Genomic DNA, 16,244 nt, shown 5'->3' with positions numbered 1-16,244 from the left:
AGGAGCTACTTTACTCAGCCACCACTGGAAGCAGAACCTCCTTAACTGACTAACTTTTGAAGTCTTCACTAACTTCTTTGGAAACCTCAGTTAAGAACTGAGATGTGACTCTCCAGTGACATCTGGAGGAGCCCATTCCTGTCCTCTCCAGCCTATGACTGAATGCACCTGTAGGGGACGTTGACCCCGTGAAGTGTTCCTCTTGTTGCTTTGGCTTGAGGTCAGCAGACACTGGGATCTTTCTTCTGTCACAGTGTCAGATCCATCAGCCAGACTTTGGAACGGGAGGCCAGAAGGTGGTGGACTGTGAAAGGAGCAGACTGCAGGCTCCTTTAACTCGCAGCTGCACGCAGCACAAGTTCTCTTCCTGTGCCTGACACCCCATTGCCCTTCCCTGGAAAACCTGATTCATCTTGGCTTTTTTTTTTTTTTTTTTGTATTTTTCCCCAGGCTCAACAGGGCCAGTCAGACATACTTCTTCCCTATTCACTTGACGGACCAGCTTCTGCCCAGCGCCATGTTCTATGCCACCGTGGGGCCTCTAGTGGTCTACTTTGCCATGCACCGTCTGATCATCAAACCATACCTCAGGGCTCAGAAAGAGAAGTGAGTTGACACGTCATGGGCATGTCACTAGCCAGCCCTGTGCCTCAGTTTCCTCACCCTTAAAATGGAGAGGATAACAGAGCCTCCTGCGTCGGGTGATGAGGAAACCTGAATTAAGTAATGCATGTAAAGCACTTAGGCTGATGTCTGGGTCACGATTGGTAAATGTTAACTATTTCTCCTCATTGTCCGTAGTTGGACTGCTGTTATCTCTTCGTTTGTAAATCTTACTCTCAGAAAGGACTGGAGTTTATAGAAGTGTTGGGCCTCGGCTGGGCGTGGTGGCTCACGCCTGTATTCCCAGCACTTTGGAAGGCTGAGGCAGGTGGATTACCCGAGGTGAGGCGTTCAGGACCAGTCTGGCCAACATGGTGAAACCCTGTCTCTACTAAAAAAATAGAAAAATTAGCCGGGCGTGGTGGCACGTGCCTGTAATCCCAGCTACCTGGGAGGCTGAGACAGGAGAATTGCTTGAACCTGGGAGGTGGATGTTGCAGTGAGCCTAGATTGCGCCATTGCACTCCAGCCTGGGTGACAGAGCAAGACTCGGTCTCAAAAAAAAAAAAAAAAAAAGTGTTGATCCTCTAAACCATGGCCTCAAGAAAGAAGAAGTTTTCCTTTCTCCTTTCCCAGCGCTGAGTTTAAGAGGAATGCGTTCTGGATCCGTATGTGAGGGGCCTGCGTTAACTAGAGTCTTGAAAGTCACAGAAACACAACGTTTTTGCAGTTTCTTAGATAATCCATTGGGGCATGCCGTGAAACCTAAATTATTAGTGCAAGCATCTCTACAGAAAACTGAGAGCTGGTATAGATTTGTTACTTTATAATATCTCATTTAGTAAAGCATTGCACTTAGAGAATCTCAGATAAAGGAATGAATCTCCTCTTCTGGGCCCGTCTGGCCTTTGGACTCAGAATCCTAATTCCCTAGGAGGCTTGAGGCTTAGAACAAGACATGTGCTGGCCCAGCCTTCTCTCAGAAGGGAGGACAGGCATATGCTGACCCCAAGGCCCATACTTTGTTACAGGAAAGCGGATCTGTGTGTCTAAAGTGGTATTAGTTGTTCCTACCAAAAGTGTTATTTAACAACTCACGCCTGTAACCCTAGCACTTCGGGAGGCCGAGACAGTAGGATCACTTGAGCCCAGGAGTTCGAGACTAGCCTGGGCAATATAGTGAGACCCCCATCTCTATCTTAAAATTAAAATTAAAAAAATAATAATCCCACAAGGTTGGTGGGATCTCCTGAAATTCTCCTGTGGTGGGGTCTTCTTTCCAAAGAGACTGACAGTCGGTGTCCCGTCAGCTTGGTGAGGAGGTGGGGCAGAGCCATCTAAGGATAAAATGAAAGCTGCCAGCCTGTGACTAACAGACTTGCCTGAGACTGTCGTGGGAATATTTTTTAAAGTTCTACAACTGAACTCCAGTAAGATCACAGACTGTTTGCTGGGCTCGGGTCCAGCACGGGAGGGGCTGTGTTGGCTGGAAGCTGGGCAGCGCCGCGCTAACGTGGGGCTTGTGTTCCTCTCGCGTAAGGGAATTGGAGAAGCAGAGGGAAAGCGCCGCCACCGATGTGCTGCAGAAGAAGCAAGAGGCGGAGTCCGCTGTGAGTGCTGCCCCACCGTTCCCAAGCGAGGGCTGTAGGGGACACACTCCACACCCCACATGTTGGTCTCAGGGCCTTAGAGGTCAGACTTCTCTTCTCCAACAACTTGGCTCTCCACTTAGTCTTTATTGTGGGATGCGACACTGGGCTCTGCAGTCCCTGCCCTGAAGATAATTACCCTCCAAAGGCCTAACAAGGGCTTTTTTAAAGTGGTGAGTATTGGCCTCTTTTTCTTCCCTCTGAGTGTTCTGCCTTTTACTGAGCAGGAGGGAGCAGGCTTCCTGGGTATGTGGCGAGCATACTGCCAGGTGGCCATGGGCCGTGTGCGCGGCCTGGCGAGCACATGCCTGTCTGAGGGGGCGGCACAGCTATGCCCAGCAGAATGGCACCACAGGAGAACACAGGTCCTTTCTCAAGAGGAGCTGGGATTCCAGCTTCTCCTGTGAAATCTCTTTATTTTTAAAGCTGACAACGCATTGTTTTTTTATTGGGTCAACAAATCCCACCCACGCATTAATGATCCCTAGAAAGGGAGCTCCCACCGGTGGCCACCGGAGGGTCATGCCGTTTCAGGTGCTTCTCACCTTCTGACCCAGAGCTGCCTGCCCTAGGTCTAGGAGTTTCAGAGTGAGCCACTCGGGTAGCAGAGCTGTCAGGGTGCCCACTCCCTTCCTTTCCAGGCCCTGAGCAAGTATGTTGACGTGGACAAGACTGCCTGCCTGTGGCCCTCTCACCAGAGGTGGAACAGGCCTGGCAGGGCCCTGACTGTGTCATCCTTGTTCTCTGGCAGGTCCGGCTGATGCAGGAATCTGTCCGAAGGATAATTGAGGCAGAAGAGTCCAGAATGGGTGAGAACATGTGTCCTCTCTTGGTCCAGGGTGGGCGCTGGGGGTCTCTAAGCCACACAAGGAGGTGCCTGGAGGAGGCCTTCCTCTACTCGGAGTCTGTCCTTAGGCCTCATCATCGTCAATGCCTGGTACGGGAAGTTTGTCAATGACAAGAGCAGGAAGAGCGAGAAGGTGAAGGTGATTGACGTGACTGTGCCCCTGCAGTGCCTGGTGAAGGACTCGAAGCTCATCCTCACGGAGGCCTCCAAGGTACAGCAGCACCAGCCACCACATGCTATGTGCTCACAGATTTGAACAGGCTGGGCGCGGTGACTCAGGCCTATAATCCTAGCACTTTGGAAGGCCAAGGTGGGCGGATTGCTTGAGCCCAGGAGTTCAAGATCAGCCTAGGCAACATGGCAAAACCCTATCTCTACAAAAAAGAGAAAAAATCAGCTGGGCATGGTGACACACACCTGTTGTCCCAGCTGTTCGGGAGGCTGAAGCGGAAGGATTGGTTGAGCCCAGGAGGTTGAGGCTACAGTGAGCTGTGATTGTGCCACTGCACTCCAGCCTGGGTGACAGAGCAAGACCCTGTCTCAAAACAAACAAACAAACAGTGGTGTGAAGAATAGGTTCAGTCTGACAAGGACAGCCTGGCCCCTTAAAGTGGGATCTTTGCCGTCATCAGCATCTACTGTGTGGGATGCTGCCCAGCTCCTGAGTAGTACCCACGTTGGAGCTATTCTCTTCATTCAGTCATTTCTTTCACCACTCAGTAAGGATTTACTGAGCCCCTGGTGTGTGCCAGTCACACCAGCAAACAGAACACACGCCTGCCTTCATGGCATTTGATTCTGTTTATTTTTGCCTCATTCCAGAAAGATCATGAGGTCACTTGTAACATGTGTGAGTCTTGCCTCTGGGGCCTGGGGCATGGACCATACAGAAGGATGAAAATGCAGGTTAGCTCAGGCCAGAGAGTTCCTGGCACCCTAGAAGTCATCTGGTGGCCCTGTCTTAGTGTGAGGATAGGGCCTTTATTAAGAAGCGAGTCTTGGCAACTTTTTCAAATTCTTGTTTCTTTTTCTTCATGCCCCAAAGTTTGCATCTCCCCAGGGAATGTCAGAGCCTGTGCACACTGCCCCTCCGGTGGTAGTGAGGAGGAGTGCTGGTCTTAGACCGTCTGGAGTATTGAGAGTAGCAATTTGTTTGTTACAGGCTGGGCTGCCTGGCTTTTATGACCCGTGTGTGGGGGAAGAGAAGAACCTGAAAGTGCTCTATCAGTTCCGGGGCGTCCTGCATCAGGTGATGGTGCTGGACAGTGAGGCCCTCCGGATACCAAAGCAGTGTGAGTAGCCGTCCCTTCGCAGTCACCAGCTAACGGGGGCGGGGACCTCGAAGCGGCTGCTCAGTGTGTGGGCTGCCAGCCACCTTCCACCTTCCTCAGCTGCCCACCTGGGAGCAGAGACGCCAACTAGCCCTTGACCCATGATTCACTCAGAGCCCATGATTTGTGCCCTAAAAGGGGGGCTGGGGCCCTTTCACAGGTAGAATTAGAGTGAGCGCGTTGGAAACTGCGGCTTGAGTGGCGGGGGATGAAAGCAGACCTCTACGTTCCAGCAGCAGTTGATTTTCAGCAGCGGGTGCTCTGCCTCGCCTGGGCCCAGCCAGCTGCTGGTCCGGGTGACTGCTGAGCCCCATCAGTAGAAAGGTGCATGGGAATGGCCACCTTCTGATCACCTGCGTCTGTCTTTTCCTTTACAGCCCACAGGATCGATACAGATGGATAAACTGCCAAGAACCAGATTTTTAAAAGGCCGCAAAAAATCTTTTCCTGGGAGTCTACAAATTTGGAAATGAAAAAACCCAGACATCAGATGTTTTTATTTTATATTATTATTATAGAAGGTGGTACCATTATCAATTATGTGAAGGGACATGCAGACACCCCAGCTTTTGAGGGTGCTGGGGGTAGGACTGAGGCAGCCCCACTGGGAACCAGACTGCAGCCTGGCCCATGGCTGTTTTCCCAAGGATCAGTTCCTGGAGGGAAGGGCTCTGGCCCTGACTCCGCTGTGTCCCGAGCACACGTGCTGACCGCAGCCCGCCGCCCTGTAGTTCTTGGCTGGGTCTGGAGGTGTCTGTGGAGCACCCTGCCCTCACCACAGGAGCGTGAGCCACTTCTGCAGTCCACGCTGAACATGGGAAACAACCTGAAAAGCAGGCAGGCCTCCCGGTCAGGGAGCCTCTGCTGTGCTGGCTTCCCATGACCACCTCCTCTTGCTGAAATATTACTGCTTGAATCTGGAGCAGATTGCGGGTTTATAAAACTGCTTTTTATCTGAGAACAAACGGGTTTGGAAATTAGTCGTCTTTTTTCCCCACTCCCAGAGCTGCTCAAGTCATTCCACCGGCCCCCTCGGCTTGGGACAGGGTAGTGTAACTCCCGATCCCAGGGCCTAGCCCTGACACAGGTGGCTTCCCGTATCCCGGTGGGAAAACGCCCTGCCACCAGCGGGCTTGAGCTGGCCTGTGTCCCTCCACCGCCTGCACCACCCACCTCCAGAGTGCAGTGCTGGGCAAGGGCAGCTCAAGAGGACAGGACCAGGCGCTTGGCAAGACATCAGACACACCCAACCCAAAGGCGTGGACCCCAGGCCCGGCCCGTGGTACCCAGCAGGTGGCACTGCAGCTCCCCGCTCCTGCAGGTCCAGCGTCCTCACAGGAACACCAGGGCCTGTGCTCCGGAGCCTTCCTTCAGACCCTTCCTCCACGTGCCCACTTGGGATGCAGAATGCAGCGGAGCTAGGACCCCCTCCACGGCCTGGACCTCGGCTGCAGTAAAGTTACGTGAGGCCTGTCTCTCGGGGCCTGGAAGTGGCAGCCATCAGTTGCTCTTGCTGACCCCTCGGAGCAAGCGCCGCACAGGTGGTGGCTGAGACAGCTGGCGCGGGGGGCCCCAAGCTGCGCCGGCCTCCAGCCCACCCACAGCTGTTGCTGAAGTCAGGCCTCCCTCCCCAGCACTGGTATCTGAGTAACGGCTAAGAACCTCCTTCCTCTGGTTTTGAAAAGCAGTTCGGGTTGTCCAATTCTGTAACATTCATCTCCATTTTTTAAAAAGGTTTCTCTGACGGCCCCACGGCCCGAGCCGCGGTGAGCGTCGTGTTGCATGAGCCTGGGCCCCGGGCTTCCCGTGCGCCTCTGCCGCAGGTGCTTCTGGGCACCCATCCTCTGCGTTTCATTTGCAGTCGACTGTACAGAAGGCACTCACCACAATAAACCTTTCCTGAAAGCAGAGGCTGGCGCTCTTCCGTGTATTGTGTGTTCATCTTCAGGAGGGAGGGAACCCCTTCCCCAGAGGCCTCCTCCCCATCCTTCACTCCTCACTCAACCACAAGGCTTCACGTGAAGCTGGGGTTCCATTTTCTACATTAAACAACATTGCCTGAGAAATAAATAGACCCCAAGTTAGGAAATCAGGCTAGAACTTTTTTCTTTAATTCACTAAAGCTATAAATTAGACAAAATAGGAAGTCAGTTTTTTTTTTCAGACTGAGTCTCGCTCTGTCACCCAGTGACAATACTAGAGGGCAGTGGTGTGATCTCGGCTCACTGCAACCTCCACCTCCCGGGTTCAGCTGATCCTCCTGTCTCAGCCTCCCAGGTAGCTGGGACTACAGGTGTGTGCCACCACGCCTGGCTAATTTGTGTCTTTTTTAGTAGACATGGGATTTCACCATGTTGGCCAGGCTGGTCTTGAACTCCTGACCTCAAGTGATCTCCCCACCTCGGCCTCTCAAAGTGCTGGGATTACAGGCATGAGCCACTGCGCCCGGCCACGGAAGTCAGTCTTCTTAGAAGGAATCACGGCACTAGAGAAAATGATGATGGGAGCGACACCGTATAGAAAGACACTTTATTACACTGCCCACTCACACCAGGCCGGGACAGGAGTCACTCCTTAGAACCCCGAGCGGCTGTCCAGGCTGATGGAGGAGGGGACCACTCACCCGCCACAGAGCCAGCCCCCTCACATGGCTTCCTCCCTGAGGAGCATCTCCCACACTGGGGCTTCCAACGATCTTTGCTCTGCGTGTGCTGAAAGGACAGCGTCCAGAATCAGCCTCAGCCTGGACTTCTGTTACCATGGGAGGATAAGCTTGTCATGCTCACAGATGTGCACTCCTAGTGCCACGCCTCTAAACGTCCCCCAGACGGCATTGGGGCTCTCGCCGGGGAGCTTGGCTACTGTCTCGATCCCCGGCCAAGCAGGCCTCATGGCCAACTTTCTCAGTGTCCACAGCAGACAAAAATGTCCACAGCCAGAGCTCCAAAGCTCTGCCGGCCCTGGTGCCACTGCCACCTCTGCGTCCGGAGCCTGTGGGGCTCAGCTCTGCTGCTCTGGCCCAAGTCTGGCCTGGAGTCCCTGGTGCCCTTTGCAAGCACGGAGGCGGCTGGACATCCTTCGCATCACCAGCCTCTGGGCCTGCAAGCGCTTCCGGAGCTTTTCATTTTCCTTCAGAGTGAGGAAGAGTTTTTTCTTCAGGGAATCTAAGTCCAAAAGGGCATAGCTGTGATCAGATGGCTGCTTGTTGGGGGTCCTTCTCAGGCCTGCAGGGCCAGTCGGCCGGCCAACAGCCTCTGTTGCTTGCGGCCTCCGTGGCGAGACCTGAGGACAGGGGAGTGAGAGCCTAGAGCTGCATCACCAGCAGGAAGGCGGGCCATGGTGAGCAGGCCACCAGACACGCACACAGCACAACCCCAGGGCAGCTAGACACTCCGGGCTGCTCCCCCAAAATCCAGATGTGCCCACACCATGGTGGAGAATTTGACTGGGGAGCTCTGAAACCCAGGCTGCACACCCTGCCTCGGCCACACAGGTCTCATGGTGGGTGCTCACTGGTTTCCATTTTGTTTGGAGCAAGTCATCTTGTGTCCAACCACAGACCACCTTTGCACTCAGTCTTACCTGTTTTACGTGGCCTTCGGCATTTGGGGGCAACTGAAGCTCTTCAAGTGCAGTGTCCATGTTTCTCCCAGGACTGTCCTCTCCGGCCCCCGCCTCAGGGAGGACCTGGGAACGGCAGGGTGAAGTCTGCACTACAGCCCTGCACATGCAGGGCCCTCCTGCAGCTGCTACTTGTCCCTCTAGGGGAGTGGCAACAGCCAGGGACCAGCTCCAGGGTCTGTGCCCCTCCACAGCCAGCTTCTCCCTAGCACACACCCTGGAACTGAACTTTTTTTTTTTTTTGAGACAGTCTCGCTCTGTCACTTAGGCTGGAGTGCAGTGGTGCAATCTCGGCTCACTGCAACCTCCACCCCCAGGGTTCAGGTGATTCTCGTGCCTCAGCCTCCTGAGTAGCTAGAATTACAAGCATGTGCCACCACGCCTGGCTAAATTTTTTTTTTTTTTTTTTTGAGACGGAATCTAACTCTGTCACCCAGGCTGGAGTGCAGTGGCATGATCTCGGCTCACTGCAACCTCTGCCTCCCGGGTTCAACCAATTCTGCCTCAGCCTCCTGAGTAGCTGGGACTACAGGCACATGCCACTACACCTGGCTAATTTTTTTTTTTCTTGAGATGGAGTTTCACTCTTTCACCCAGGCTGGAGTGAAGTGGTGCGATCTCAGCTCACTGCAACCTCCGCCCCCTGGGTTCAAGTGATTCTCCTCCAGAGTAGCTGGGATTATAGGCATCCACCACCATGCCCAGCTAAATTTTTGTATTTTTAGTAGAGACGGGGTTTCGCCAGGCTGGTCTCGAACTCCTGACCTCAGGCAATCCACCTGCCGCAGCCTGCCAAAGTGCTAGGATTACAGGTGTGAGCCACCAGGCCCAGCCGAATTTTTGTATTTTTAGTAGAGATGGAGTTTCACCATGTTGGCCAGGCTGGTTTCGAACTCCTAACCTCAGGTGATCCGCCTGCCTCGGCCTCCCAAAGTGCTGGGAATACAGACGCAAGCCACTGCGCCCAGCCCGGCTAATTTTTATATTTTTAGTAGAGATGGGGTTTTTACTATGTTGGCCAGGCTGGTCTCAAACTCCTAGCCTCAAGACATCCACCCGCCTCAGCCTCCCAAACTGCTGGGATTATAAGCGTGAGCCACCTCGCCCGGCCCTGGAACTGAACTTTAAGAAATCAGGCACGGCCAGGTGCGGTGGCTCCCGCCTATAATTCCAGCACTTTGTGGGGCCAAGGCAGGAGAATCCCCTGAATCCAAGAGTTTGAGACCAGACTGGGCAAGATAGCAAGACCCCCATTTCTAAAAAAAAAAAAAAAAAAAATTTTTAATTAGCTGGGCATGGTAGCACATGCTTGTGGTCCCAGCCACTTGGGAGGCTCAGGTGGGAGGATGGCTTGATCCTGGGAGGTTGAGGCTGCTGCGAGCCATGACTGCACCACTGTACAGAGCCTGAGCAACAGAGTGAGACCCTGTCTCAAAAACAAAGAAAAAGGTTGGGTGCAGTGACTCACATCTATACTCCCAGCACTTTGGGAGACTGAGGTGGGAGGATGGCTTGAGCCCGGTAGTTTGAGACCAGCCTGAGTAAAATAGCAAGATGCTATCTCTACAAAAAAAAAAAAGTGGGGGCCCAGGCGCGGTGGCTCACACCTATAATCCCAGCACTTTGTGAGGCAGAGGTGGGTGGATCACCTGAGGTCAGGAGTTCGAGACCAGCCTGGCCAACGTGGTAAAACCCCGTCTCTATTTCAAAACACAAAAATTAGCCGGGCGTGGTAGCGGGCATCTGTAATCCCAGCTACTCGGGAGGCTGAGGCAAGAGAATCACTTGAACCTGGAAGAGGTTGCAGTGCGCCGAGATCATGCCACTGCACTCCAGACTGGGTGACAGAGCGAGACTCAGTCTCAAAAAAAAGAAAAGAAAAAGGGAATCAGGCACGATCCCTACTAGCAACTGAGATTCTTTGATATTGAAAAGAAGGAAGCTGAGAGGCTTGGGCCTTCCCTCCAGAAAAACCGGGAATCCAAACTGGCATATGAGGAAAGGCGACAGCCCTGCGGGCCGGCCTTGCTGGGAAAATCCCACCTCCCTGTCTCAACCCACAGCATAATTTAAACATTCAAGTACCTGGCCCGGTGCACTCACCTTTTCTTTCTGAGAAGAGCTGGCATTTCCTCTCTCACTGGCAGGGTCTGTGTTCTCCCTCACCTGCTACAAGAGACACACACAGAGTGGATGCAGACCCCAAGAACCCTCAGAGCTCGGGGCAGGCCTCGGGCATCATGCTTGTCCCCGCTGCTCGGCCCACTGCATGCCCCAGTCAACGAACAGCTGCTAAATGAAACTGACCTGAAGCTCAGCCCAACTCACACTGCCCGCTTGGTGCGCTTCTCTTTCTCCAAAGATGTCCTCAAATCATGGTCAGAGTGCCCTGAATAGGTCCCTGTAGAGCTAGGGACCCATCTACTTCCTATGTGTCACCCCAGGGCCTGGCACCTGGCCCCATGACCGCCAGCAAGCAGCAGAAGCGCAGCTCACCACTCGAGGTGCCACTGACCCAGAACCTGCAGCCCCTGGGCCACACTGGGGTGGGGCCCACAAAGCAGAGCTGGCAGAGGCCGTACCCAGCTTCTCCCCACCAACCAGGCACTGGAAGCACCGAGGGCTACAGTGACAAACGTCCCCACTCCCAGTGGCTCAAGTGTCATCTTTCCAGGACAAACGTTATCACAAATACGTGAAGGTGATTAAAGTGTTCATCTATGGACACATACCCCGAGCACCTGGGCTGTGCCAGGCAGCGTCCTGGGTGTGGGGCCTGAAGCAGGGAAGGCAGCCCCTGCCCTCATGGAGATTCTGTTCCAGGGGAGAAGACAAAACCAATGAGGGAAACAGGAAGGACAGCAGGGGCCACAGGGGCCAGGAAGACTGAGGGGCAGGAAGGGGTCGGAGGCAAGAGGGGGTTTGAGGGTCCAGAAGGGCTTCCTGAAGGAAGGGACTGCCAACCTGAAGAGGTTCAGGCAGACTGCATGAGGCTATCTGGGAAGGGTGCTGGGGAGGACAGATGGGGCAGGGGCTCCCAGGCGGCCGCTCTGGGCGTGTTTGCTACGTGGCCGCTTTGTTCTTCCCATCGGCTCCACTCTCCACTCACGGATCCCTTTCCTCTCCCCATAAATCCACCAATGCAGGGAGCTGCTGGCCTGTGGCTTGTCCCGCCACTGCCCTGCCTGCCCACTCCACGTGGGTGCCCCTGTGGCCTATCATGCGATCTCAAGGCTTCAGCATCCAACTCTTTGTGAGCCCTCTCCTGAGCCAGGCCCACACATCCCACCTCCACCAAGGCAAGCTTGGCTCACTGCAACCTCTGCCTCCCGGTTCAAGAGATTCTCCTGCTTCAGCCTCCCAAGTAGCTGGGATTACAGGTGCCCACCAACACACCCAGCTGATTTTTGTATTTTTAGTAGAAATGGGGTTTCAACATGTTGGCTGGGCTGGTATCGAATTCCTGACCTCAGGTGATCCACCCACCTCTGCCTCCCAAAGTGCTGGGATTACAGACGTGAGCCACCGCACCCAGCCATAGAATAATTCATTTTTAAAATGCCTTTAATTTATGACTTCTCTTAAAGCCGAGGTCATGGCCAGCAGGGCCACAGGGCTGTGGACCCCAGAGGCGTGACAGTGCTGTTGTCACTGGAGTTCTTGGCCTTGGCTTTTCCCACACATGCCGCCACCCCCACTGCCCCCAGCTGCTGGTAAACAACGCAGGCTGGATGTGACCAGACGGAAGGTGCAGTGCCCTCCTACCTGTGTGGGGTCCTGAAAGGCGAACACCGTGGGCACGGCATTGTGCTTTAGGTTCTTGCGGTTTCCAAAGGCGCTGAAGCACTCTGGCCGGAAGTGCTCGGAGCAGATGACCGTGTGCTGCTTGGGCTTGAAGTTGCCCCGGCCGATGTTCAGCACCCATTCCTTCAGCAGCTCCGGGCGGCTGAACGGAAACCTAAGGGCAGAGGCACGGGGTGTGAGGCCCAGCAAGGCTGGACCCAGCGCCTCAGAGTCATTCGGAATTTTCACATCACTACAGAGTACTTCCCTGGACAGCTGTGGACATTCAGTCCTCTCGGTTTATTAAATCACATCTAATTTCTGGAAGCTTCTGTCACAGCTGTTAAAGCACTCTTAATAGGAAACCCGAGACCACGAGCATGGCCAGAGAGCCCAAGTGAGCTGCTTCCGATGCTACATTTGCCAGGAGCCTACCAGGAGCCGGGCCCTGTTCTTCGTGCTAGGGATGGGGGGTAATGAGACAGTCCTGGCCCCCAAGAGCTGATATTCTGGAGCGGGGGCACAGTGATGAGCCACACAGATGTGGACGGTGTCTTCTGGGGATGACAGCTGCTCCAGAGAACAGACAGAGGGAAGCCCTGGGGTGGTGAGGAGAGGCAGCTGAAGGGGTGATGTTTGAGCACAGACCGCAGGAAGTGGCAGCACAAGCGACGCAGGCTTCAGAAGGGACAGCAGGAACGGCCACTCACGCAGGTCCAGCTGAGACAGCGAGAGGGAGTGGGGACTGCATGACGCAGGGCCCTGAGCAGCTGGGGAGTCCCTGGAGGCTCTAGACAGAGGTGAGATGGAACCTGGGTCCACCCTGGCTGCTGTGGGACCAGGCATTGGCAGGAAGTGGTAATGAGAGGGCAGACTTGGATGTATTTTGAAAGCCATGCAGTAAGGTTTGCCTGTAGATGGTAAAATTGAGAAGGAAGGAGTTTCATGTTGGAGATAAAATTAAGTTACAGGACGGCAGGTTAAGGGGATCAGAAGTTTGTTTTGTAGCAGCTGAGCATGGTGGCTCACGCCTGTAATCCCAGCACTTTGGGAGGCCAAGGCAGACAGACTGCCTCAACTCAGGAGTTCAAGACCAGCCTGGCCAACATGGTGAAACCCCATCTCTACTAAAGATGCAAAAATTAGCCCAGCGTGGTGGCGCACTCCTGTGATCCCAGCTACTTGGGAGGCTGAGGCACAAGAATCACCTGAACCAGGGAGGCAGAGGCTGCAGTGAGCCGAGACTGCGCCACTGCACTCCACCTGGGCAACAGAGTGAGAGTCTGTCTCCAAAAAAAGAAGTTTGTTTTTTATGTCAGGAGTTAAATTTGAGGTGCTTTTTAGGCTCTCCATGTGCTGGGGTGACAGGCGGCCACACGCATCTGGAGATGTCAGTGTGGCGGCCAACCCTGCGGAACCGATAAGCCTGGGTGAGATGGGCCCCTGGGGAGCAAGTGTGGCTAGAAGCCACCCCTGGGCCATGGCCCACACCCCAGGGCTCCAACACTTAGTGCTGGAAATAAGGAGGATCCAGCAAAGGAGACTGAGAAGAGACACCTGTGGCCAAGAAGTGTACCAGACGCCATGCGGGAAAAGTGACCCAGGCTCAGGGGTCAGTTGTGTGAAATGCTATGCAATCGATCAGTGTCACAAGGCTCACTAGTGATGTGACAGAGCTCTCGTGGGAGTGGAGGAAACGACTTCAAGAGAGAAGGCGCAGCAACTCCATCCCCAAGTACATACCTGACAGAGGCAAAACAGATAGATGCACTGCAACACAAGTCCCACCAAAACTGGCCAAAACAATGTTTGTTTTGTTTTGTTTTTTGAGACGGAGTCTCGCTCTGTTGCCCAAGATGGAGTGTAGTGGTGCGATCTCGGTTCACTGCAAGCTCTGCCTCCCAGGGTCAAGTGATTCTCCTGCCTTAGCCTCCTGAGTAGCTGGGATTTCAGGTGCGCGCTACCACGCCCGGGTAATTTTTGTATTTGTAGTAGAGAAGTAGAGACGGGGTTTCACCATGTTGGTCAGGCTGGTCTCCAACTCCTGACCTCAGGTGATCCACCCAGCTCGGCCTCCCAAAGTGCTGGGATTACAGGCGTGAGCCACCACGCCCAGCCTCCAGAACCATGTATTTGTCATCCAAAAAATGGGGCCACCCAAATGCCCTTCAATTGTAGAACAAATCAGTAAATTCTGGCACTTGCATTCAATGGAATATTATGTGGCAACGAAAGCGAATGAACTGCAATCCACTCTGATAGCGGGCAGGATAGGGTTCCCTTTGGGCAGGAGAGAGGAGGAGGGCCTGGGAGGGGGTCCAGGTAGGGGTTCTTCTCGGGGGTAGTGATGTTTTATTTCTTATTTTGAGATGAGGTATCGCTCTGTCACCCAGGCTGGAGTGCAGTGGCAAGATTATAGCTCACTGCAGCCTCGAAGCTGGGTTCAAGCGATCCTCCTACTTCAGTCTCCCGAGCAGCTGGGACTACAGGGGCACACCACCTTGCCTGGCTAATTTTTTTAAATTATTTGTAGAGGTAGGGTCTCCTTCTGTTGCCCAGGCAGGTCTCGAACTCCCAGGCTCAAGCGATCCTCCCGCCTCGGCCTCCCAAAGTGCTGGGATGACAGGCTTGAGCCACCGCGCCCAGCTGGTAACGTTTCAGTTCAGTGACGTTCACTTGGGGAAAACTCGCTGGGCTGTATACTTATGATTCGTGCATTTTTCTGCATGTACATTACGTATACTTCAAGCAAAGCATTTATCACAAAACAGAACAATGGGAGCAGAGGGAATGGGAACGATGAGCACAAGCCCCCCTTCGGAATGTGCCCAAAAGTGGGTAGAGAAATGGTGCCGTGACTGGACCTTGGAGAAAGCGCAACTGTGACTAATGACGATTGCTCCTGGGCCGGGCCGGGCCGGGCCGGGCGAGTGCTGGAGCAGACTCCAAAGTCTCCAGCGTCCTCCCGCGACCCTGCAGAGTCCCTTCCCACTGCCAGGACGCCCCTGGGGGTTCCACTCCTCCACTGCACTGCCCAGGTGCCGGGCTCCCTTCAGGACCGCGCGCGGCGGGGGCTGCAGCGACCAGGGACACAGCAAACCCCGGCCGCGGCCCGCTAGTCTGTTCAGCAAACACCTGCTCCGCTCCCTGCACGTCCCGGCCCTGGCCCCGCCAGGTGCGCCGCTGCCCCTCCGTCCGCCACTCCCCGCATCCCCGCGGCGGGCGCGGCGGCGCCAGCCCCTCTGGGCCCAGGACCTCGGCCTGTCCCCGGGCCCAGCGGCCGCACGCCTTTGGGCCTCCCGCCCGGCGCGCCAAGGCCTCGGAGTCGGTCCGCGGGCCCCGGGTCTGGGCCTCCCGCGCCCCCGGGTCCCCGCCTCTTACCGGTGGAAGGTGAGCTGCTTCCTGCGGCTGCTGTAGCGGTTGCAGCACTGCCGGGCCGCGCACGACTTCGGCATCTCGAGCCAGGCCTGGCTGCCCCCAACAAAGATGGCGGCGGCGGCGGGGCCTGCGGAGAGGGGAGGGACCTGCGGGGAGGGGCGGGGCCGCTGGGAGGTGGTGACGGGCCTGGCTCGCCTCCAGGGCGCGCTCATCCTGCCATCCCAGCCACCCGCGTCTCCCCAGGGTCGGACGGGACCCGGGGCGCCACGTAAAGGGGTGCTCCGGGCCCCAATTCAGGCCCGAAACCCCAACTCCTAGCCTTGGGCCTGTGCAAGTCTTACCCCATTCGCCAATGCTGGTCGCCTTTCACCTCCTTGCTTTGAGCACCCAACCAGGACGCATAGCCACTCACAGGCTTGGACAACTGGAAACCAACGGCCAACCCCTCAGTGTTTTTAGGGCTTTGAATTGTGAATAGGTCTGGACTCCTCTGACGTCACTGGAGGTGGTACTAGTTGGCCACTGGTGGTGTCAGTTCAGAGGCCAGACAGCTCACTGCCCTTAAGTTTGGTCACAGGGAACCCCCAAACGTGAAGAGGCAAAAAGGGCAACTGAAGGGGAGGGAGATTCCAGTTCAGGCCTTGCAGAAACTCCGAGGCTGCAGCTTTCTCAAAGCAGCCTATAGGGAAGGCGTCATCTTGTAAGAAGAAAAAAAAAAAAATCGGCCAGGCGCAGTGGCTCACGCCTGTAATCCCAGCACTTTGGGAGGCCGAGGCAGGCGGATCACCTGAGATCAGGAGTTCAAGGCCAGCCTGACCGACATGGTGAAACCCCATCTCTACTAAAAATACAAAAATTAGCCGCACATGGTGGCGGGCACCTGTAATTCCAGCTACTCGGAAGGCTGAAGCAGGAGAATCTCTTGAACCCGGGAGGTGGAAGTTACAATGAGCCAAAATCTCATCACAGCACTTCACAGCCTAGGTGACAAGAACGAAACTCAAGTCTCAAAAACAAAAAAAAAATCAAAAG

The 16,244-nt window shown here is 54.9% G+C and overlaps 2 protein-coding genes across 13 annotated transcripts in view, besides 2 other annotated features; one reads left to right on the top strand and one right to left on the bottom strand.

The window, feature by feature from the left end:
- Window positions 1-6,338, top strand: part of DNAJC11 (DnaJ heat shock protein family (Hsp40) member C11) — a 67,647-nt gene extending 61,309 nt beyond the window's left edge. For both annotated transcript variants that reach the window (NM_018198.4, XM_047424842.1), the window contains 6 exons: window positions 451-606; window positions 2,144-2,213; window positions 3,004-3,061; window positions 3,168-3,310; window positions 4,262-4,391; window positions 4,808-6,338. In NM_018198.4, coding sequence (NP_060668.2) covers window positions 451-606; window positions 2,144-2,213; window positions 3,004-3,061; window positions 3,168-3,310; window positions 4,262-4,391; window positions 4,808-4,833 — 583 coding nt within the window. In that variant the 3' untranslated portion in view covers window positions 4,834-6,338. The remainder of the gene's footprint in view (window positions 1-450; window positions 607-2,143; window positions 2,214-3,003; window positions 3,062-3,167; window positions 3,311-4,261; window positions 4,392-4,807) is intronic.
- Window positions 4,913-15,640, bottom strand: THAP3 (THAP domain containing 3). Of its 11 annotated transcripts, none has more exons than NM_001195753.2 (6): window positions 15,554-15,640; window positions 15,216-15,358; window positions 11,817-12,009; window positions 10,155-10,220; window positions 8,013-8,117; window positions 6,946-7,712 (listed from the first exon to the last, which is right to left on the bottom strand). In NM_001195753.2, exons 2-6 carry the CDS (start codon window positions 15,287-15,289, stop codon window positions 7,431-7,433), a joined length of 720 nt encoding a protein of 239 aa, NP_001182682.1. In that variant the 5' UTR covers window positions 15,290-15,358; window positions 15,554-15,640; the 3' UTR covers window positions 6,946-7,430. The 11 variants fall into 11 exon arrangements, with proteins under 11 accessions (NP_612359.2, NP_001381426.1, NP_001381427.1 ...); XM_047433628.1 differs by having other exon boundaries at window positions 6,946-7,594; NM_001195752.2 differs by having other exon boundaries at window positions 10,155-10,217.
- Window positions 5,646-5,785: a silencer, noted in NCBI's record as "silent region_172". NCBI's record gives its function as "represses an Ori minimal core promoter by ATAC-STARR-seq in GM12878 lymphoblastoid cells {active_cell/tissue: GM12878}" and the evidence as "EXISTENCE:reporter gene assay evidence [ECO:0000049][PMID:35858748]".
- Window positions 14,840-15,249: a silencer, noted in NCBI's record as "silent region_171". NCBI's record gives its function as "represses an Ori minimal core promoter by ATAC-STARR-seq in GM12878 lymphoblastoid cells {active_cell/tissue: GM12878}" and the evidence as "EXISTENCE:reporter gene assay evidence [ECO:0000049][PMID:35858748]".
- Window positions 15,641-16,244: the final 604 nt, after the last annotated feature.

Source organism: Homo sapiens, chromosome 1 (genome assembly GCF_000001405.40).
Source record: "Homo sapiens chromosome 1, GRCh38.p14 Primary Assembly".
In the NCBI taxonomy this organism is placed as follows: domain Eukaryota; kingdom Metazoa; phylum Chordata; class Mammalia; order Primates; family Hominidae; genus Homo; species Homo sapiens.
This window is presented reverse-complemented; position numbering and strand designations above follow the sequence as displayed.